The following is a 25,285-nucleotide window of genomic DNA, read 5'->3' as shown; positions in this document are numbered from 1 at the left end:
CCCTCCAAGGGGCATTTGGTATGTGGGGTAAGTCCCATGGAAAGCTAACACAGATCACAGCAGGAACCCCTGTCACAAGTCCTCCACTTTCTGAAACTGCCATTTTCTTCAAGATCTTGGTAAAAAAAAAAAAAAAAAAAAAAAATTGAAACGTAAAGGTAGGTACTATGAGAAGTCTGCTGTGTGCTCCGCAAAGATGCTTGAGATGGGCAAAAAGAAGGGAGATTTTCTTTGCATCAGCCATTGATGAAGCTGCCTGGTCTCTGCTGTTGTCATCTCCTGATTTTGGCCCTCAGCTCCCAAGACTGGCTCAATTTTCATCACAGTAAGCTACTCTTTCTCCCTTCATTGACTAAAAATATATCACTCAAAAAATGTTTATCTGATAAATACTTACTGAAGGATATGAAGATACTGAGAGGTAGTGCTAGGGCTGGGAAGAAAAATAAATCAAGATCAATGTCAAACAACACAATTGCCTGAAATTCCCCAACCAATACCTGGGGCCCCAGCTTGCCCCAGTGGGTGGGGCTCTCTTCTTCTTTGCCTCTTATCTTCCTGCTTCTTGCTTTTTCCAGGATTCTCTTCTCCTATGCCTCATAAGATAAAGTGAACAATTCTCAAATGCCTCTTACTTTCGTGGGCAGAAAAGTTTTAGTGTCCATTGTGTTTTATTCTTACCTTCCAGAAATTCCTGGGAAAAAATGGGAGGATAGGGTTGTTATGTATACTACCATAAGACAATCATCAATTTGTTTGAAACATAAAAAACTAATTCTCATTTTTGGTGATTTATCTTACTTCCCTAATATATAAAGGCAGCTCAGTCACTGCTTTTTTTTTTAAATAAATTACCTGCATTAAGTTTACAGTAAGTAAGGGGAGAGGAGGTTGCTGTGGATGAAGATATTCAGAGGAGGCAGTAAAAATGTGGCTTTAGCCTGAGTCCTAAGGTCTTCAGAATGAGACTGAAAAGAAAGGTGAAGAAATATGGCAATATGACAGAGTTCTAGCCTTCATGTTCTAGCTCCCTTGCAATCAGGTGTGTTTGGCCAATGGAATGAATGGGCATAATGTGAGCCATCCTTAGGTAATGCACTCATACTCTTTCCTTTCTGCCAGCTGAATCAGTAGGGTGCTGAGGACCTGGAGGAGAGAGCAACAGGTGCAAGAAGTCTGGATCTCTGAAGTCTGGACTGCATGAAGCAGAACTCTTCTGCCAGTGTATAATGGGTTTTGAAAAATGTCCACATAATTTTTGTCTTGATCCAGAGAGGTGAGTAGTATGTTTGTTAATCTCTACATCTACTTTTACCTGGGTCTTCCTCTCTACTTGGAGAAAGATCTCTTATGTTTACTGAATAGAGTCCTTTCCTTATCTTTAGTACTAGCCTCAGCCGTCACCAGAAAATCTTTCCTAATTTCTAAGTGACTATTAGCTCTGTATTTCAGTAGTAGTCAGTTGATATTAGCATAGTTTAAACGAAGAGGTTAGCATTTTCTTTATTCCTTCAGATGAATATGAAGAAGTAGCAGACTTCTTGGAAAAGGAGTTGGTAACTTGTTCTGTAAACGGCCAGAACGTAAACATTTTAGGCTTTGCAGGACATACAATTTCTACCATGACTAATCCACTCTGTTGTAGCAAGAAAGCAGCTGTAGAGAATAAAATGAATGAGGATGACTTTGCTCCAATAAAATTGTATTTATAAAAACAGGCAGCAGGCTAGATTTGGCTGTAAGCCATAGTTTGATAAACCTTACTTTAGAATATTCCTTAGGCCTTCACAATTTCCTGTAGGATATAGGGTACACATCTTCCCATCCAATAGTGAGCACCTTAATGATATAAGCACATAATAATGATATATGCATCTCTTCATATCAGAGAGTGGAGCCAGTGCTTGGAAACCAACAACATCAATCAATGTTTCTTAATTCAAAGTGAACTGGAACCTGGTAAGCTTTAAACAGTGGAGTAATAGCCACCCTGGAGTAAGAACAAGTCAATGCATATTCAATATAAAATGTATTTTTTTCTTCTTTTTTCTTTTCCCCATCTAAATTCTACTGTTTTCACCTTTGTGACTGGATTACATTTGAATTATAGCACCAAGAAGAACAACGATGAAGAAAAATAACTAAATCACCATTCTTAAGTCCAATATCTGGACATGACAATACATGTGGGTATATATGCATTATATATGCATGCATTATGTATGTGTGCATAACATTCTATCTATACATGTTAAAATCAATACAATCGAAGTATTTATATTTGGTAGAATTTTTTTTACAAAAACATATCATAATAATTATCTCAAGTCCCTATATAGACAAATAACTTCAACCTAACATTTATCTTTTATTTGTTTAAGCATGATAGGTGACCAAGAAATATTTTTGAATGGGCAACAATCATATATTTTACTCTAATCTTGTTTGTAATGCTGCAGAATTTTTCATTAATATGTAGATATTTAATTTAAAAATTAACAAATTTCATCTGTTAAAATTATGTCCATATTGATAAATGTGTTTATTCCAATGTTTTTTCATTCATTTTTCAATACTTACTATATTAATGTATTAACATAAAATCATAAAAAGGTCAAAATATTTGTCAAAATTTAAGACTTTTATAGGCCTTGATAAATTTGCAGATGGGCTGGAATTTGAATGAAGGCAAAACAAATGATCAGCCTGCTCTATTTCCAACCAAATATATGAAATAAGGGATATTCATTGTTTCATAAATTTTGGAGTGAGAACCCAGGTAGAATTTGAGAAAGAAAGAAAATAGGCCATTTCCTTATGACTTGGTAGAACACTCTGATGAAAGGAGTCCACCAAATCAATTCAGTTCATCCCACATTTATCGAGTTACTAGTATGTAAGTCTTTGGCTTTGATTTTACTCAAATGAGCTTATATTCTGGCTGAGCAGAGTCCATGCAAGAAATCAAATAACCCAACCCAATCTATGAGGCCAGTGTTACCCTGATACTAAATTCAGACAAAGATATTACAAGAAAATAAAACTATGGACCACTACCTGTTATGAATGATGATGCAAAAGTCCTCAATAAAAGAGTAGCAAACTGAATCTAACCATATGAAAAGAAACATATACCATAATCAAGTCGGATTTATCCCAATAATGCGAGATTTGTTTAACCTGTGAAAATCATTTTATGGAATGCACCACATCAGTAGAACAAAGAACAATAGCCACATAAATATCCCAATAGATGCAGGAAGAGCATTTTACAAACCCAATGCCCATTATTGATAAAACCACCACCACAACAACACTCAACAAACCAGGAATAGAAGGTAGCTTTTTCATCATAATAAAGGGTGTCTATGGAAACCCTACATGTAACATAATACTTAAAGATCAAAGACTGAATGCTTTCCCCTTAAGATCAGGAACAAGACATGAACGTCTGCTTTTTTCAATTCCATTTAGCATACTAGTGAAGGTTCTAATAAGGGCAATTAGATGGAAAAAAATAGCATTCAAATTTGAAAATAAGTAAAATTGTCTGTATATACAGGTGACATGATCTCGTATATAGAAAAATCTTATGAAATTCACAAGAGAACTATTAGGGATAATAAATGAATTTAGCAAGTTTACAGGATATACAAATATCAGTTGTATTTCTTTATACTAGAGATGAAAAATCCAAAATAAAATTAAGAAAACAATTCAATTTATAATTATATTAAAAATAGTAAAATGTTTAGGAATAAATTTAACAAAAGAAATATAAAGCTTATACTCTGAAAACTATAAAAACTTGTTGAAAATACTAAAGAAGATTTAAATGAGTGGAAAGAAAGCCTGTGCTTATGGATTGAAACCCCTAATATTTTAAGATGCCAATTTATTCAAACTGATCTACAGATTCAACACAATCTTAGCTTCCATTTCGGAAGAAATTGACAAGAAAATCCTAAAATTCATGTGGAAATGCTGGGATGTCAGAATAGCCAAAACAGTCTTGAATAAGAGAAAAGCTGGAGGACTCACTCCTTCCAGTTTCAAAACTTGCTGCAAAAGTAGTGTGGTACAGGCATAAGAAGAGACACAAAGATCATTGAAACAGAACTGGGATTCCAGAAATAAACCATTACATATATGGTTAATTGGATTTTAACAAAGGTGTCAATACAATTCAATGGGGAAATAATTATATTTTCAATAAATGGTGCTGGGACATCCTGATATCTATCCACATACAAAAGCATGAATTTGGACACCTTCCTCACACCAAACACAAAAATACTCATAAACTTAAATGTAAAACCTAAAATTATGAAACTCTTTTAGGAAAACTTGGGAGTAATCTTCTTGGATAAAACACCAAAAAATGCACAAGTGACAGATAAATTGGACTTTATAAAAATTAAAATCTTTTGTCCTTGAAAAGACATCATCAGTGAAAATATATGGCTATAATTAAAAAGACAGATAATAACGTGGTGGTAAAATATAGAGATATTAGAATCCTTATGAATTGCTGGTGGGAATTTAAAATGATGAAGTGAATTGGGAAAATAGTTTGACAGTTCCTCAAAAGGTTAAACATGGAGTTATCACAGTACCCAAAAATTTCACTCCTATGTATATACACTAAAGAAATGAAAACGTAGGTCCATACAAAAACTTGTGCGTGGATATTCATAGTAGCACTATCCATAGTAGCAAAAATGTGTAAAGAACTCAAATTTCTGCCAAATGTTTAATAAATAAATCAAATGTGCTCTATCCATAAAAGACATAAAAGAGAATATTATTACACCATAAAAATGAATGAAATATGGATATATCTTAAAACTTGAATGGATTTTACTATGCTGAGTAAATAAAAGCCTGTCGCAAAAGACCATGCATTGTAAGATTCCATTTTTATGAAAGATCTTAACTGGGCAAATGCATAGGAACAGACAAGTAGCTTAGTGATTGCTTATGGCTGGATAAAGATGAGGAGAAATAACTGACTGCTAATGGATACAGGATTCCATTTGGTTGTAATGAAAATGTTCTAATATTGATAGTGGTAATGGTTGTACAGCTCTGTAACTATATGGAAACTATTGAATTATTTACTTTAAATGAATAAGTTGTAAGCTGCATAAATTATATCTCAATAAATCTATTAACAATTTTTTCAGTCAAATAAGTCAAGAAATAAATAGACTATAAGAATGGTGGGGCCAACTTATCAAATAAAAATCATAATCACCATTGAAGGTCAGAAGAAAAAGAGAGGAAGAAGAAGAGAGAAAACAAGAGGGAAGGAGAGCCCTAGAGAGAGAAGGTGCACCTATTACACCCAAATAGTAACTTAGGGAAGTGATTCATCCTTTTGTTTTTCTCTGAGGTTCATAGTGAGGCTAGAAGCAAAAGCCCTAATTCATTTCCATTTTCCAAAATGTGCCTTTGAGCCTATTATAACCTTTGTGCATTAAAGGATCAGTGCAAGAAGTCTGCCCATAAATGATGACTTCATGGCACTACCAACAGTATTCACATACCTGGGTATCAGAAAGTAAATGAAGTGTCTGGAGGAAACACAGTGTAGCCTTTCTCAGGGAAAGAATTTGAAACTCTTTTTTAGGCTGTGGTATGGACATCCTACTCTAGCATAGCAGAGTGCAAGATAAACTGATCACACTGAGCCAAAATGGGGCCCCAAGGAACAATTCCTATCTATCTCTGGAACAAATGTTAAAATGAAAATTGGTCAATAGAATATGTAGACCAAAACAAGACTTTGGTCCATGCCCCTGAGAGGAAAGATGCCTAAAATTATTCTAGACCTGGAGCCATTCATTGGGGTCTCTATTCTCTGAGCCTTATTACTACTGGATCCTCAATATAACGGTGCACTGCACCCCACCCTCCACCCCAGAGAATTTTTTTTATTGCTGTTTAAAATTGTGCACAATTAGGCCCACGCATATTCTTCCTGAGAGGTTGTTTACATTAGCCTCCAGATACCATGGACCTAAAATATATCTGGACCCAACATAACGAGAACTTCTATGCCAACAGTCCTGTTTGTGTGGCAAGAACTCCTAGGTATCACTTCTATGAGATACCTTCTACTTCTGCATTTTCTACGGGATTTCTGGTTCTCTCCTCTGGGGAATGCTGCAGTACTAAAGAGAATGACAAGTCTGAGATCCCTTGGGCCTGAAATACTGGTGGTTAGAGTCTGGAGACATCTGACAATAGTGAGGGAGACAGGAGTGGCTGAGTCTAGAGGGCCTGAAGCAGAAGGAAAGACCTCTAGAAAGGAAAAATGATTCCTCACCTTAGGTGAGTGAGTTAGGAAAAATGACTAACAGCACAGAAGGATGCCCCATCCCTCAGCAAAGAGCACACCTAGGAAGGCCTTGTTGTCATCAGGACCTCTCAGTCCCCATGTGAGAGAGGCTCTGAACAAGCGCTGCATTTGGTTCTCACACCGGGTCTTGCCCATCTCCCTGCGGTCATATGAGGAGAGTTCCTTTCCAAGAATTCTACAGTTTCTCTTTGTGCACTTCTCCCCTCTTACCCCCAAACACACACACCCCAATCCCTGATGAGACTGAAGGACCTGCCATGCTGGGCTCTATGGGCAGGCCTCAGAGCAATGCTACCCTCTTCCTCATGACCCCAGGAAGAAGACAGACCTGCATGTTTCTGTCAGAGTCCCTTGGCCATTCTCTCTGCTTCCTTGAGTTGAGCTCTTGGGACCACATTAGCTAATGTGGTACTGCAGGCCTGTTTGGTGGTGTATTGGAAGTCAGTAAAAAAGTTTGTCAAGAACATGAGCTCTGGAGTCAGTCTGCTTGATTTTGAACTCCAGCTCTGCTACTTCCTAGCTGAGAATCTAGCTAAATTGCTTTGCCCCTCTGCACCTAATTTCCACAACTACCTAAAAGAAATAGTAACTATACCAGTATTATTATGGTGAGATAATACATGCAAACTACATAGCATAGTTCTTGACATACAGTAAATGTTCAATTAATCTTAAATATTAATGTTATAGGTCTGCTAGCAAGTGCTCTGATTCTCATATACACATCATATTTTAATGGTGGTATGTGACCAGACTGATGTGTTTGGAGAAAGTTCTGAAACCATAAACTGGAGAGTTCAGTCCAAATTATTACACTAGTCCCTCTGCTCAGAAGCAATTACACACATATGAAGCCTGTCTGTTCCCAACTCCAACTATAAAATGCAAACGGGAGCCAAGGGATAAAGTATTACATCTGTTGGAGGGCTTGAGGATGTTTTATAGCAGATTAATCAAAGTCATTGAAGTGATTCTTTCTCTAGACATCAGCATTTTGGTCCTTTAGTTTCTTGTGAGATACAAACGTGACCAATACTGTAATCTAATTAATTGCTCTGTGCACAAACACTAATTGCAAAGAGATAAAGTTTAATACTAGCTGTATACGGGGCGTTAAGCAGCCAGCTAGTTTTTGAAAGGAGAAAAAAAGGAACTCATTTCTTGGAAAGGAAGATGAAACAATAAAAGTGATTGGATATAAGCTAGTAAAATCCATCAGGATAAAACATACCCTTGTTTTCTTACCTTTTTGATGAGATTGCTGTGTGATTCATGCATCTCATCTTTGCAGGGACATTAGAATTGTGACAAACATCCAGCTGTATATTTTGTTCTGTGAATGAAGGTCAAGAGTATTATTTAAGCTGGGTGTGGAACACCTGTATTACCAAAGGTTTCATCTACAATGCATAGACCTTAGCCCCTATCCTGGAATAATTTTTAAATAGGGATCTCTCAAACCTGGTTGAGGAATATTTTTCTTACTCCAAGTTTTGTTTGATTTTGCATTTAAACACAATCTAATACCTAACAGGTGCCTGTCATAATTTCTGACACACAAAGTACTCAATAAATACTTGCTAAATGAATGAATGAAAAATGAGAATAACGGCGTGGTTAGGAAAGACAGAGTATACACACTATGAAGGGTCAAGAAGAAGATTTTACATATGAATGAAAGTATACACAGTTCACTTCACAAGTAAGCAAAAAGACATTGACTATGTTATTGGAAACTGCAGAAGAATGACTGGCCAACTACACATTTCTATCAGTACCTCTTTCTACTGACTAATGTTATACATTTCAGTTAAAACCTTATGCCTGGGTAAAGGTCAGGCATAGTAGCTCATGTTTATAATCCCAGCACTTTGAGAGGCTGAGGTAGGAAGATCGCTTGAGGCCAGGAGTTTTAGTGCAGCCTGGGCAACATGGTGACAAGACCCTGTCTCTACAATTTTTTTTTTTTTAAACAGCCATGCATGGTAGCATGTGCCTGTTGTCCCAGCTACTCAAGAGGCTGAAAAGCAGAAGGATCTGTTGAGCAGGAATTCAAGGTTACAGTGAGCCATGATTGTCCCACTGTACTCCAGCCTGGGTGACAGAGGAAGACTCTGTTTCAAATAAAAAACAAAAACAAAAATAAGACTGCCCTTAGGAGAAAACGCATAAATAAATTGCATGTGTAACTACCTCCAAAGGAAAAGACTGACCACATTAATTCCACATTTTAAAGGTCTGAAGACTGCTTCTGCAAATGAGGCAACCAATAGATCAGCTTTGCTAGAGGAAGGATGGTGTGATGCCTGCAATGTGGGTCTATCTAGGTGGGCAGAATTGGGGAGCACCGAGTGGGGGTTTGTAGCAGTAGTAGAATAGTATGAGATCACTGAGCACCTCAAGATGGGAGAAAGGGTCAACTCTGAATTGAAGATTAGGGATGTGGGAAGTTGCTGACTTTTAAGCGACTGTCACCGGGGGACGCACTATCTTTTAAGTACAGTGAGTGGACATCTTTTGTTACTATTTCACATTCTGACCAATAGTGACAGGTGATTGTAGAGCATTAGCACCAAACAAGTCCTTAGAAATCATTTAAGTTAATCACCTCTTTTTTTTTTTTTTTTTTTTTTGAGACGGAGTCTAGCCCTGTCGCCCAGGCTGGAGTGCAGTGGTGCGGTCTCGGCTCACTGCAAGCTCCGCTTCCCGGGTTCACGCCATTCTCCTGCCTCAGCCTCCCGAGTAGCTGGGACTACTGGCGCCCGCCATCACGCCGGGCTAATTTTTTGTATTTTTAGTAGAGACGGGGCTTCACCGTGTTAGCCAGAATGGTCTCGATCTCCTGACCTCGTGATCCGCCCGCCTCGGCCTCCCAAAGTGCTGGGATTACAGGCGTGAGCCACAGCGCCCGGCCAATCACCAACTAAGTAATTTGGACAGAGTCATACTTAAGGCACTGGTGACTAGAGCTTCCTACTGTTGGGCTTTTTTAGTTAATCAACATATGCAAGTTATAATTCCTGTGCTTTCTTTATTCCTCAAATTTCACAAGTATGAAAATTTAGGATTTCCAAGCTGAGGTGTAAATCACCTAATGTTCACCACTCTGTGGCCCAATCTGAGCACAGATGGCCACTCTAAAGAAATACACAAGTCTAAGAACCAGAGAAAATGAAGAACAATTATGTTATTCAGTTACTCAGAAAAAGACATTAGTAACATTCACCAATCTTAAAAATATTTTTTTCTGGAAGTCTTACTCATTATAGAATATCTGCCCCCAGTCTCTCTTCCACTTTCTCTAATTTACTTCAAGTTCTCCAGGCTATGCTGGCTTTAACTATCTCAGTTTCTCAATTCTGCATTGATTTATATCTTTAACGAGAGAAAAAAATCCTTTTAGTTTTCTAAAAATTGGTTGCAGCACCCAAGTTTCTTTAAATCCTTCTCCTCACCTGTTAGTTCCTATATGGACAACAACACCCAATAAGTGCATGGGCAAAGACAAGATTTCTTCAGTAGTCTTGAGAAGAGGAAGAGTCTGTTAATAATCTGAGGTTACGTGATAACCAGTGACATTAATGGAAGAAACATAAGAGTGGTTTAAATGTATGTAGGAAAAGCATATAAAATAATTCAGCACTTAGGTTCAATTTAAAAATGAAAGGTCTTAATGAAAAATTTAAAAGTGAACTGTCCAAACTATAAATATTTTCAAAAACCTCCATAATGAAGAAATCTTAGAAACATTTTGTCGAAGTTAGGAATATACCAAATATTTTATTATCACCATTGCTCTTAAGCATAATATTGGAAGTTCCGACTAATACAGTGAAACCCCCAACAAAGTGCAACATAGTCTAAGTACTTGAAAATAAGAGATAAAACTCCTGTAATTTGCATATATTATGATCCTTTATACAGAAAACTCAAAAGAATAAACAGGCTATTGGATACATTAGATAAAATGATGAAAAGTAAAATACCAACATAAATAAATCAATAGTATCTTTATACTGGCAATTACTGATTAGAAAATGTACCTAAAAGAAGATAGCATTTATGAAAATAAAAATGCAAAGTATAAAGCAATTGACTAATAAAAATGTGAGAAATTTTATGGAGAAAATTATAAAGTGTTATTGAAGGACAGAAGAGAACTGAAGCAAAGGAGAAATGTACCAGATTTGTGGAAATGAGTGTTAAAAATTATAGTGGGCCATTGTTTTGGATCAAGCTTCTGTACTAGGCACCAGCAGACCAAACTAAAAATCAAAGTGGAATTACACATGCTAAAGTTTCTAAGGAAAACTAAGTTGTTATCAGACCTTTAGAGAAATCAGGAGCCAGAGATAGCCAATCTCCTAATTAGACCAGTTTAAATCATCAATCTGTATGATAACAAAATTCTCTCATCTTACACAAATATGGTAGCCTGAAGTAACCTGATGTTAACCAATCAGTTATTTTTCTATTGTTCTTTCTCCTTGTTCCTGCCTTACAAGGAAAGTATTATAACTTTGAAATAATCAATCTGCTTTTTGTTCTTTGTTTCTGCATTCTTCAGTCCTTTTTCTGTCTATAAAGCCATACTCCTCTGCTGGATTCATTGAAACACTTTTTATTTTACAAAATGAACTGATACCCAATTCTAGAATTGTAATAAAGCCAATTGAGATTTTTAAACTAAATTTGTGTAATTTTGTTTTTTGACTGAGGATTTAATATTAAAAATCTATCAGTTCTTCCCAAGTTAATCCAAATATGTAGTACAACTCCAGTTGAAACTTGAGGGAGTGGGTAGGTGGAATCACACAATATGATTATAAAATGCACATAAAAAAGCAAAGATTCAAGAAGAGAAGAAAAAAATTCTCAAAAAAAGTTGTGATATGTTAAAACATATTGCAAAGCCAAGGTAATTAAAACAGTGTAGAAATGGGTCACAGAGAGAGAAATAGACCAAGAGAACAGTCTGGAGAATACAAAAATATACTCATATATATAAAACTTCCTGTTTGATAAAGGAGACAATATAGGGCAGCAGGAAGGAGATTGATAGGCAAGATCCAGAAGGCTGTTTTCAATATGGAGAAAACTAAAATTAGATTGTATCTGAAAGAGTAAATAAAAATAATTTCCTGGTAGATTAAAAATAAAAATATTAAAGGTAAAACTTCAAAATCATTTGAAGAAAATATGCAATAGAGAAGGAAAATAATTTCTTGAACAAAACCTCAAGAGCAAAAAAAAAAAAAACCATAAAATGAAACATTTAGTGGATTTGAAAATGTCAAAATTAGGTGGTAACTGGTTATCCATATGCAGGAGAATGAAACCAGACTCCCACCTCTCACCCTATACAAAAACCAGGTCAAAATGGATCAAAGACCTAAATGTATGACCTGAAACTATAAAACTTCTAGAAGACAAAACAGGGGAAATGCTTCCGGACATTGGTCTGAAAAAAGGCTTTATGAATAAGAGCTCGAAAGCACAGGGAACAAAAGCAAAAATAAACAAATGGGAATATATCAAGCTAAAAATCTTCTGCACTGCAAAGGAAACAATCCACAGAGTGAAAAGACAATCTACAAAATGGGAGAAAGTATTTGTGTTAATATCCAGAATATACAAGAAGCTCAAACATCTCAACAGCAAAAAAACAAATAATCCAATTTAAAAATGGACAAATGGGCTGGGCGCTGTGGCTCATGACTGTAATCCCAGAAATTTGGGGGGCTGAGGTGGGTGGATCACCTGAGGTCAGGAGTTTGAGACTAGCCTGGCCAACATGATGAAACCCTGTCTCTGCAGAAAATAGAAAAAATTAGCCAGGCATGGTGATGGGCACCTGTAATCCCAGGTACTCAGAAGGCTGAGGCAGGAGAATCACTTGAACCTGGGAAGCTGAGCTTGCAGTGAGCCGAGATCATGCCACTGTACTGCAGCCTGGGCAACAAGAGCAAAACTCAATCTCGAAATAAATAAAAATGGACAAATCATCTGAATAGACATTTCTCAAAAGAAGACATCCATATGGCCAATAAATATATCAAAAAAATGCTCAACATCATTAATCATCAGAGAAATGAAAATGAAAATCACAGTGAAGTGTCATTTTACACCAGTTAGGATGGCTATTATCAGAAAGAAAAAAAACAAATGTTGGTGAGGTTATGGAGAAAATCAAACTCATACACTGTTCATAGGAATTTAAACTAGTTAAGTCATGATGAAGAACAGTATGGAGGTTCCTCAAATTCTACAAATAGAACTACCATATGCTTCAGCAATCCCACTACTGGGCATGTATCCAGAGGAAAGAAAATCAATATATTGAAGAGACTTCTGTACCCCCATGCTTATTGCAGCCTAATTTACAATAGTTAAAATAGGAAATCAACCTAGGTGTCCAACAACAGATGGGTAAAGAAAAGGTGATATATATACACAATAGAATACTATTCAGCCATAAAAAGAATAAAATCCTGTCATTCACAGCAACATGGACATTGCTGGAGGACATTATGTTATGTGAAATAAGCAAGGAACAGAAAGTTAAACACCACATGTTCTCACTCATATGTGGAAGCTAAAAAAGTTGATCTCATAGAAGTAAAAAGTAGAATAGAGGATACTAAAGGTAGAGGAAAAGGAAGGATAGATTTGTTAAAGGATACGAAATTACAGCTAGATCGGAGGAGTAAGTTCCGGTGCTCTATAGCACTGTAGGAAGACTATAGATAACAATAATATCTGATATAATTTCAAATAGCTAGAAGGAGGATGTCGAACATTCCCAGCACAAAGAAGTGATCGACATTTGAGATGATGGATATGCTCATTACCCTGATCTGATCCCTATACATTATATGTATCAAACTATCACTGTGTAACCATAAATATGTACAATTATTATGTGTCAGTTTAAAAAATAAAATAAATGTTAGAAAACCAAAAAATTATTAAGTATTAAATAGTTATGGAGTGGGAGAAGAAATTATCATATGTATGACTAAAAAAGGATTAATATCTAGAGTATATCTTATGCCTACAAATCAGCAAAAGAAACATAGTAATCTCAACAGAAAGCTGAGGAAACTATGAATGGGATTCCACAAAAGGCAAAACCAGAATGGCTAATGCACATGTAGAGATGTCTTATCTCATTAGTTATCAAAAACCTGCAATTCAAAATAATGTTAATACATCATCTTATAGCCATTTGCCTGGCAAAAATTAAAGTCAGATGAAAACAGGTTCTGGTGAGAATGTTGAAAACACTGGACTTGAAAACTATTATAGTTATTCTGGAGAGCCATTTGGAAGTATGTAATAAAATTAAATATGCACATTTCAAATACTAGATATGGAAAAATTCTCACACAGATACCCAGAGGTATGCATAAATGGGGCAAAAATATTGCTTTCAGCATTGTCTGCAATACCTAAAATTTAAAACAGCCTGTGTCCACCAAAAGTGTGTTATATTAGAAGGATGGAGTGTTATTCATCAGTCAAAAGAAATGTTCTAAATTGCCTTTTTTAATTTTATTTTTTAATTAACAAAAATTATGTGTATTTATGGTACACAACATGCTTTGATATATGTATACATTTTGAAATGTCTAAATCAAACTAATTAGTATATGCATTATTTACATACATTTTTTGTGACAACACAACATCTATTTAGTAATTTTCAAATATATAATATATTGTTCTTAACTGTAGTTGTCATGATGTACAATAGATCCTTTGAACTTACTCCTCCTGTCTAACTGAAATGTTCTGCCTTTTGACCAAGAATCCCTCAATCCCTTAGTACCATTTTACTTTGCTTGAGTGAGTTCAATTTCTTTAGATTCTGCAGTTAAGTGAGATAAAAAGGTGATTATCTTCCTGTGCCTGATGTGTTTGACTTAACATAGTGTCCTATGGGTTTAATCCATGTTGTCGTAAAAGACAAGATTGCCTTTTTTTTTTTTTTTTTGAAATGGTGTCTCGCTCTGTTGCCCAGGCTGGAGTGCAGTGGTGCGATCTCAGCTCACTGCAAGCTCTGCCTCCCGGGTTCACGCCATTCTCCTGCCTGAGCCTCCCAAGTAGCTGGGACTACAGGTGCCCGCCACCATGCCCAGCTAATTTTTTTGTATTTTTAGTAGATATGGGGTTTCACCGTGTTAGCCAGGATGGTCTCGATCTTCTGACCTCGTGATCCACCTGCCTCAGCCTCCCAAAGTGCTGGGATTACAGGCATAATCCACCGCACCCGGCCAAGTGCCTTGTTTCTTAAGGCTGAATACTCTCCCAAAGAAATGTTCTAAATTTCTATCTATCTATAGATTGATCTATGTTAACCTATATTGACAGGTGGATAGAGAGATGTCAACATTGGTAGGTTTCAGAAAAAGTCATGTGTGGAATAGTCAGAATTCTTTATATAAAATAATATCTATGTAAGCAATAATGTAAATTAACTGTGGGTAGCTACTGGGGTAAGATCGAGAAAGCAAAAAGAGTGTAGAATATAATAAAACATTGAAAAGATACCATACCATGCACAGATTAATAAAGGTAGTAACACAAACTCTAGGATCAGGATCAAATCTGCATCTGTGCACCTGAATTTACCTGTATACATGCAGAAATATATATATATATATATGTGTATATATATGTATATATGTATATGTATGTATATATGTATATATGTATATATATGTGTATATATATGTATATATATACACACACACGTATCTACATATATGCATATATACTCACGGAGATGTGTTTGTGTGTGTGTGTGTATATATATATTTGTGTGTCCTATAACAATTTTTAAACTTTTTTCCCAATTAAATATTCAAGTTTTGTTTTATAATCACTTGACATTTTCTTCCCTTCAATCCCTATGACTAGTAACCTGAAATGCACTGCTTTGCCTCTGTACACACAGAATTCCCCTTGTCACTATTATGTCCACTCCCACAAATTTTGTACAAAACCCCACTATAGTCTTTCCTTGTCATCTTGGTTTGTCACACTCAAGATAGTTTGGAATTCTCTACAAAGATGAAGATCTCATTGAATATTTTACTCTACAGTTTATGCATAAGGATGGCGGATAAGATCAGTTGGTATTCAATAAAACCCACTACTTTAGTCAGCAATTCATTTCTTCATGCCTCACTGTCCAGATCTTTTATGAGCCCAAGTGCCATATTAAAAAGAGTCTACATGTCTCCCTTATGACCAAAAACTCTGACAATGTCTATCTCTGGTTACCCAAAGTTTACTCCCAATTTGGCTTTGCTCAATTTTTCATCTTTATAACCACAATAGATACCTATTGAGTTCTTAGCAGACGTTTATTGAGTTCTTACAATAGTGCCATGTATTTTAACAGAAAAAGAACCATTGAGGGAGATCTTTTCCCTCATTCTATGAGGTACGCTTAATCCTTCGGTTTATGAGTCTGCAATCAAGGTATATTTGGCCACCTGGGATATCCTATTTGTCTGACAAGTGACTTCTCCTGGGGACATTAGTCTGCCTCACCTGGGTGAGCCTTGGAAATTCAATCCCTTAATGTAAGTGGAAACACCAGAGTGGAAATTGCATTAAAATCCAATGTATTTTTCTGTGATTCAACCAGTTTTAGAATACTAAGATACTGTTCTGGGATGGATACACCAGTTTCTTTGTTCCTTCTCTAGAGTTACATGTACTGTGAATAAATAAATGTAGTGAATTCTTATAACTTTATGTTGCCTTGGCATCCATTTTCAATATAAATTTAAGTTTTTCGTACCAGAAGCAGAATTTCAGTCACCCTTGACGCAGTTTCCAGTTTTCTACCTGCTCCCAGTTCCTCAGTGTGATCGATTTAGATATGTGCCTTATACAACCAGCTCCTAGTGACCACATCCGTAAAGGACAGCTAGATACATGCTACTTGACCTGCCCCACTGGCCCCCACACCCTGCATGGACTGCCAATATGTGCCACAGTGAGTGCTCCCAGTAGCAGCATACTCTACTGAGCTCAGACTGCTTGCTGTAAATCCACCAGTTAGAATGTCCTGAGGGAAATCTGCATGGGTAATGCTCTGGATCTCAGTGAAGACTTTGATCCATGAGTCTCTCTTATCTCTCTATCTTTCTCGCTCTCTCTCTTATTCTTCATCTGCTTGTTAAGTGTGTGTCCCAGGCATCCAGGCATTCCCTCAGCCCCCACTTCCCATTGGTCCTGTGAAGGCTGCAGCCCTCTTCTCCCTGGAATCTGTAAGTAATAAAATTGCTTCTGTAATTTCATGTGTTTTGTTGTGTGGTCTCCTCTGTGCCTTGCCTCATCAACACGGCTGAACCTAACCCTTTCCTCATCAGGGCTCTCCTAGAGAGTGACTGTCTTGGTAGAAAGAAGCTGAAGAGAAGTCAGACAAGAGCCATAAAGACATCTGACAGCATAAATAAGTTTCTTGTGAGAGGGACACTTGGTCATGAGTTGGACTTTTAGACATTAGGTTGTCCACCAGGATTAAGAAGTGCACCCTGAAAGACACGCTTGTAAATATACATGACCACCTCCCCTGGAGCTCATTAGGGCAGGGCAGGAATTGATAGCCCCTCTCCCAGTAGAGACTTCAAGACCAAAATAGAAATAACTGATGTTTACACAACAACAAAGTAGCCTGGAGTCAGAGGAACCTGGAGAGATTGTTTCGGGGTGTCCCTGGGATAGCGTGATGTAGTGCTTTTCTTAGCCCACACCTCATTCACAAGGCCCCACTTCAGGACGTGGATCCTGGGTCAGAACCTCCAGTTTCTATTCCATCAGAGTGTGAGTTGAAGACCTTGTGTTGAGGATGAGACAAGGTTGATTTTCCAACCTTGTTTTGTCTCTGTTTTCAAACTGTGTTCTTGGACTGTAAACTGAAAATAATAATAACAACAATGCCTGTCTCCTGCAGTCAAAAATCAGCATAGCATCCTATGTAGAAGACTGGGCACAGATTCATTTGGTCCTAGAACAAACCTGAGACTTGCTTTACTAATTATGTTTTTGTGGTCAAGTTGGTTAACTTCTCTTTATGTTTTATTCTTATCTGAAAAGCAAGGATAATTTAAAAATACCTATATTCTGTGTGGTTGTGAGGCTGAAATTAAATTGGTCAAGTAAATCTGTTAACAGAGGTCCTGACATGTAATTAGAGTTCAACAAATGTTGGCAAATTTTATTATTATGGTTGTTGAAAAATTTGAAATGATAGCTATTTATGCAAATCACTGAGCTTTATGCCTGGTGCCGAATAGACACTCAATTCATATTAGTTCCCTTCTTTCTCAGCAAGCAGAAAATCTAGATCTAATTTGCATGGTACTTGAAAGGGTACTTTCTCAAAAAACAGTCCTGTCTTAAGGAATTACAGTCACATTTGTCAGTAGGTTTCTAGACAACCCTCTCAAGATACCTCAATCTTCATTAAGAAGACAGCTAATATTTCTTGGTCAGGAAAAGATAGCTGAAACTCTCTAAAGAAAAGACTAAAGAAGTAGGTTAAACACGTCAGAACTCTGTTCTGCCTCTCCCACATTCCTTGCAGCTACTCTTTACTCAAGTGACAGAGGGGAAAGGTGTCTGATATTTTATAAGTGAACAGAGCTGGTCTAGTTTGACCTTAAACACTGAGAAAGGCAAATGGCCACTCCAAGCAAAAGGAGCAGGGATGCTTCCCAGTATTGCCAAGGAGAGAATGAATAGGAGGAACCTGAGCCAGAGATGGAGAGAAGAGAGGAATGGGAAATGTGAGAGGTAGGCATTGTTATCATGACTCTCAGAGATGTAGAGTTTGATGTCACTAAGTCTTTTCAAATAAACTCCCTCTTCAAGTCAAGGGTTCTTTTATTTATTTATTTATTTACTTATTTATTTATTTATTTGTTTATTGAGACAGAGTCTCTCTCTGTCACCCAGGCTGAAGTGCAGTTGTGCAGCCTCGGCTCACTGCAACCTCCGCCTCCCAGGTTCAAGTGATTCTCCTGCCTCAACCTTCTGAGTAGCTGGGATTACAGGAGCCCGCCACCACACCCAGCTAATTTTTTTGTATTTTTTGTAGAGACAGAGTTTCATCCTGTTGGCCAGGCTGGTTTCGAACTCCTAAACTCAAATATGATCCACCCGCCTCAGCCTCCCAAAGCAGTAGGATTACAGATGTGAGCCACTGTGCCCGGCCCAGAGGTTCTTATTTCATGAGAAAGTCCAGATCTCACAGCTCTGACTCCAAGGGAGCCAGGTGAGGGATGACTCTCATAGTCTCCTATTGGGAAAGCTTCACAGGGATTATATTCTGACTGTACTCAAGGGGAGACAGGGGAGATAGGGGGGATGAGAGGTGGGTAGTGGGGCAATATGGTATATGCCAGGTGATGAACAGAGAGAAAAATAATCTGTAAGTGTTGGAATGGAGTCCAGAGACATTAGCAGCGAACGTAGGAGCATACAGCACTGGATCATTACCAAAAATCCTGTAGTCCACTCCAGGTTCCTTCTGCCTAAGACCATGGCTTGGGCCAACAGTAATCATCTTATCTGATCCTCTCCTTACAGAGAAAGTCAGGGCCCTCAAGCACAAGAGCTCTACACAGTAACCAGTCAAGAGTCAGCTTGGCCTTGGACATCTGCTCTTACATTCATTTAAGGAGTATCTGTAAACTGTGTTATATATATATCAGATTCTATGCCAGGGGTGGCAAATTTAATGGTGAATGAATCTCTGCCTTCGTAGTGTAGAAGGCCTGTATGGAATTGGAAAATCTTATAAAGACATGATAAGGGAGGTTCAAAAGGAGAGATATGGACAAGGTTTATTGCAACACAGAACAGGGGACTCAACACAGTTTAGACAGAAGAGAGAAAAGAAAAAGTAATTTCAGAAAAGGCATCTTGTAATATGGAATGTGTCAGCTAAGTCCAAATTCAAGTGAAGTTGATTAGGGGGTCATAGGATGGCATTTCAGAAAGAGAAAAGAGAGCAAAGCAGTCAAAGAGGTCAGGAAAAATGTTACACAAGAAATGGTGTTGGCACAGGTCAAAGTGTGAGACAGAGAGGAACCAAAAATACACCTGGAGAGGCAAGATGAAAGACTCGAACTTCATGCAAAGGGAGTGAAGAGTCACCAAATGATTTTAGCAGAAGACTGACATAAGATTTACATATCAGAAAGATCTCTCTAGCAATAATGAGGAATACAGATAGAAGGAGGGCATAGCTGAAATCAGAAAGACCAAATAGAAGAGTATCACAGTGGTTAGTGGAGAAATGATGAGAGTCTGAACTAGTTAGAAATGGGAGAATTTTTTAAGAAATATAAGATTTAATGAAACTTAAGAAATTTAGGAGTTAAAGTCTTCAGGTTTTAGGTGGTTGGGTGGAAGAAATTTGTGATAGTGCATCAATTGAGGTGGAGAATGTAGAAAGAATTTTTTCAACAGTATACTGATGTGGTTGCCATTTATAAACCAGTCTTCCCTCAGTAAATGAATTCTACATGATCCTTCCCCATTGGAGAGAGAAGAAAGTGGTGTAACTTCTTCTTTAGGGTCTCTGAGATCCAGGAGGATTCTATGGTCTATTGTTAAAAATACATATTTCCATATCTATACAATGGCATATTATTTAGGTATAAAAAGAAATGTGCCATGAAAAGAAATGGAGGAAGCTTAAGGTAAGTAAAAGAATCCCATCTACAAAGTCCATACCCTCCATGATTCCAGCTCTATGGCATTCTGGAAAAGGCAAAACTATGGAGACAGGAAAACATCACTGGTTGCCGGGGTTTGTGGCAGAGATGGGGAAGAAGGGATGAGTAGTTAGAGCAGGGGGAATTTTAGGGCAACGACACTATTCTGTATGATTACTGTATGAATCTGTATGATATTGGTAGATACATGTCTTTTTACATTCTTTGAAATCTGTTAGTGATGTATCAATATTGGTTCATCAATTGTAACAAATGTATTACACTAATGCAAGATATTAATAACAGTGGAAACTGTGTGTTGGCAGTTATACAGCAACTCTGTCCTTTCCATTCAATTTTTCTGTAAATCTAAAACTTCCCTAAAAATAACTTCTATTAATTTAAAATGCATATTTTCACCTACATCTGTTTCTAATTTATGGATAATAGTTAGCATATAGTAGCCTCAGCTCAATCCCAGTGTGACTTTATTCAAATATGAAAAGCACAGACCACTTAGAATTTTGCTTAAGGTCTGGAAAACTTTTTCAACCATTAGAGTCAATAAATCCTCAGTGTGATTGATTATTTATTATTAGGTCAGAAGTTTACCTTGTATACCTATTGCTGTGTCCACAGAACCCGAAGACTCAGTTACTATTTCTTCCCTACACACCTCATATTTGCTGCTTTGTGCATTATGATCCCCAGGATAAAAGCAGGGACAATTTATTTAGTTTGGGATTTTTAATTTCTCCCATCACCGGTTTGGCAGAGGGCTTTGAAAGAGAACAACCTCTTAGAATCGGGAAAGGAGAATTAATCTATAAAAATTCAATTAACCTGTACAATGCTTGTTGAGTCCTCATGGAACTTAATCAGAGTTTTCTTAACTTATTAGCCGCTTCACCTATTTTGCATCTTGTAGCCTATGACGCTGGCACTAAACAATCAGAATAATGCTGACAGGTTAAACAAACTAATAAACTAAATCCAAGGATTAGACTCTTCCATCACTTGCAGAAGACATCCAAATAAATCTCACCTGTGAGTTCCAATAGCAAGACTCTGAGAGCTGGTGGGCTGTCAGGACAGGCCATCACACCCTGCCTGACTCAGGAATCCACAAAGCAGGTTATTGCCTACTCCACTCCTGACTTGCTGTATCCACTTGGGGAAAGCTCCAGACGATACTAAACCTATGAGTTGAAGCTTGGGGACCCCATTTAATGAAGTTTATCTCAGACTTAGCATTCTCAATAATGAAGGAGAATACTTAATGATGATAAATTGTTCTAAGCTCTTCAAATGAAGAGCTAAGAGATCTGAATGGAATTAGGAGCTGTTTGGATAAGTTATTCAGGGATTCCAAGCTCAGTGTCTTCTCTAATCAGATAAAGGCTGAACAGTTAAAGGCTGTTTAGCAACCAACTATGCATCAGACACAGATTTGTGGGGAACATATTTGAAAGAAAAGAAGGTAGATTTAGTTTTGAATATTTAGGGCTTGTGATGCCTAGAGAATGTTCAAGTGGAATGCCCAGCGGGCAGACAGATTTGCAGCTCTGGAGAGATTTTTGACTTGGGGATAAGATTTGGGGACATCAGTGTCTAAGGGGGAGTTGGACCTTTGGGTATAAAAGAGGGATTATGTATATAGAGAAAAGAAGAGTGAATTAAGGAAAGAACTTAAGGAATGTGGAATTGGGAATTTAATTAAAGAAGAGCAGGAAGGAGACTCCTGAAGAGAGGTTGAGATGGAACCATCAGAGTTAGAAGAATCAATGAATGACATCAAATAACCCAGATTTTTGGGGGGTGATGCGCAAATGTTGTAGCGGTGATGTATAATTTGGATGCTTGTCCCTTCCAAATCTCATGTTGAAATTTGATCCTGAACATTGGAGGTGGACCTGGTGGGAGGTGTTTGGGTCAAGGGTCTGATTCCTCATAAGTGGCTTGATGCTGCCTTGCAGTAATAAATGAACTCTTTCTCTATTCGTTCCTGAGAGATCTGATTGTTAAAAGGAGCCTGGCATCTCCACCTATCTCTCTTGCTCCCACTCTCTCCATTTGACATGACTGCACCCCCTTTGCCTTTTGCCATGAATAAAAGCTTCCTGAGATCCTTACCAGAAACAGATGCCCATGCCATGCCTATGAAGCCTACAGAACTGTGAGCCAAATAAAAGTCTTTTTAAAATAAATCACTCAGCCTCAGGTATTTCCTTTATAGCAATGCAAAATGGGCCAAGACATGTGGTACCATAAATGATAATGACGCATTGGTTTAGAAATAATGATGCCTTGACTAAACTCTGGAGAACCAATTGCACAAAATGTTGGAAGTTTAAAACAGATTTTACAGATTTGGAGATCAAATGAGAGATAGATGAGTAACTATTTGCAGTTATTTGTTTCCAATGAGTGTGGATAATCTGCCTCAGAATTTGACTTCAAGAGAAAAGGAGAAAAAGTAAAGAGTAAAAATCAAAGAGAGTGATTAGAGTTAAAGCAGTTTGACAAAAGATTAGATAGATAGATAAATAGATAGAAGGAATGAATTTGTCTTGATAGAGTTAAAGCAATGAGTAGATGAAAGATTAGATAGATAGATATAGATAGAGAGATAAATAGTTGGAATGAATTTGTCTTGGCTCCAGTCTGCATGGTTGTATACTTTTCCTCAGCAGTCTTGGAATAGGTGTAGAGAAACCAAGGCTTGGTTGCAGGAGGGCAAAGGAGAGGAAATCACAAAATGAACCATGAAGTCTAGCTGAGGATATGAGAAAGTAAAGCCAAGTGGCCAACTGAGGTAATCTGGGTCTGTAGATCTTGATATTGTCATAGAATTGGTCTTTCCAGAATTTGTTTAAAAACTCTTGTTCAAATGTAAGAGAGTGACTGGGAAGAAAAAGAAGGATGTTTTGGCCAGATGGTCAGACACTGAAGTTAAGATTTCAGAACAGAAATGTTTCTAGGTTCTACTGGTTTCAAGATCTAGAGTGTTAGTGGATGTGGGTAGCTGAAATGAACAGAGGACAAAGGTCTCTCAAAGCATTTTTAGGTTTCAGCTGAGGACAGGTTGTTGTCAAAACAAACAAACAAACAAACAAACAAATGACAAACCAAAAAATCAAAAATCAAAATCATCTGGGATCACAGCAGAACAAGGAGTATAAGGAATTTTCATGTATTAGATGCCCAAATTCTCAGTAAGGGTGGAGGAGGGGCAGAGATCAGTATCAATGATACATGGGGACAAATCAGAAATGGTTGAATGATATGAAATAAAGGAGGTATTCTAAGGGTGATAAAACAATGGCAGCAATGCTCAGCAGGAATGCAAAGGCCCTACCTTTCTTATGAGGCTTGAAGGAAGAGAAAGCATGAGCAGACCCCAATTAAGAAGACAAAACAGAAGGCAGAAACTTGGTGTGGGAGGTAGGTGAACACTACTGGCACCATTTTTGAATGTAAGGAGTTAAAACCCATGCAAGCTTCCCCAAGCAGAGAGCTGTTTGGTTCTGTTGTTTTAGAAGGATCCTCTGGACAAAGCACCGCAAAAAGGGCATTACTTTTTGGGAGGTGAGGGCAGAGAGTGGAGAAAGATTCTCTTTTCTATAAATGTGTTTCTTACTTCATCATTCAACTTTCAGGTGCAGTAAACTCCATGAATATTGGGTCCTTGTCTGTCTTACTTTTTACAGCACCCACAGTGCCTACTACAGTGCCTGACACATATAGTAGGTGCTAGAGTGCATAATAAGTGTAGTAAATAAATGCACAAATGAGAGCTGTAAAAAAGCTATAAATGAGAAAAAAGTAGGTATGCTTTATAAGAAAAAGCCACAGTTTATATTCAACTCCTACTATCCCAGCAGAAACTTTTTCATGACTTTTAAAATCTTTAATTCTTTCCTGAAGCATAATGTATGTAGACAAAAACTCTTTGAAAAGTTTGCAAAGTTAAAAGTGCTATATGAAATAAAAGAGATTGGTGAAAAGAGCACTGTGATTCAAGAGTTAGATAATTTGGCATTCTCCATTCTACAGCTGGATATAAATGATGATTCCTTATCTGCTGTGGGAAATGTTCTTTAACATTGTAATGTTTGTATCCTGGATACACTATTAGATTTTAGGTCATCTGAGGATAAGTGTTAGGTCCACACCTTCTTCCTCACCTCTCCAATATTTTTGTTGAACTATTAATAAGTGTTTATGGAAGCCCTACTATTTACTATTTATAAGCATAGTAGGAATGAGGCAGAAAAAAGAAGAGAATACAAAATTTCTGCCTTTGGAAATTTTGTTGAGGAAAACAAAATTTCCCCACAATTTTGTTGAGGAAAACAAAATTTCCCCACAATTTTGTTGAGGAAAACAAAATTTCCCCACAATTTTGTTGAGGTAAACAAAATTCACACTCTGAAAACACTTGGCAAAGAGTATATAATTAAGTACTCAATTAATCCAAGTTGTATTTTAGGAAGAAGAAAGAGTTCCTTGAGAGGATGTCCTAAAGAACTGGTAAAATAGGATATGCAGAGAGATTGGAATGGAGGGTAGTTTCCTCTTGATATTCTCAAGGCACAAAATTTGTATTTTTATTTCATTCCCCAGCTATTGACCAGCTAACACATCAGCATCTGCCAGGAAAAGAGATTTTAAGAAGTCTCTCATTGCAACATATGGGCAGGGGTAGAAAAATAGGCACAGTTAGGACAAAAAAAGTTTGTGAGGGAAGAAGGGAGAGGGTGAAATAAAAAAAAAAGAAAGAAAGAAAGAAAAAGAAAAAAAAGAAAAGAAAAATCCAGCCAGGTGGAGAAAAGTCCCATTTCTGTTGCTTGGAAGAAATAATTGGCACTCTTTCTCTTGTCCATGGCCTTTTACTTCTGGCCTAGAGCTTGCATTTAATTTGAATTTTATTAACACAAGAAATCTAGTGCAGCCACATGATTCTCCCAATTCAGGGTGTTTAATTTTAAAAGTTGGCAAGTTGAGTAAGTGGCTTTGCAGAACATGGCAGGGTTTCTTCTCAGCAAGGTAAGTGTTGAGGTTATCTGCCGAAGTATAGGCTGGGAAAGAGGACAAAATGTGAGAAATACCTGGAGGAGACAATGGTTGCAGGTGCTAGACTGATGGAATGTCACAGAATGTGAAACAAAGTAAACTG

At 37.3% G+C, this 25,285-nt stretch overlaps 1 protein-coding gene across 1 annotated transcript in view; it reads right to left on the bottom strand.

Moving 5' to 3' along the window:
- CTNNA2 (catenin alpha 2) overlaps positions 1-25,285 on the bottom strand; it is a 1,463,404-nt gene that overhangs the window by 1,328,375 nt on the left and 109,744 nt on the right. The window contains exon 3 of the mRNA NM_001399737.1: positions 7,610-7,697. The gene's annotated coding sequence lies outside the window, so the exon portion shown is untranslated. The remainder of the gene's footprint in view (positions 1-7,609; positions 7,698-25,285) is intronic.

This window comes from Homo sapiens, chromosome 2 (assembly GCF_000001405.40).
Source record: "Homo sapiens chromosome 2, GRCh38.p14 Primary Assembly".
NCBI lineage: Eukaryota > Metazoa > Chordata > Mammalia > Primates > Hominidae > Homo > Homo sapiens.
The sequence above is the reverse complement of the archived record's forward strand: the minus strand, read 5'-3'. Positions and strand labels throughout refer to the sequence as shown.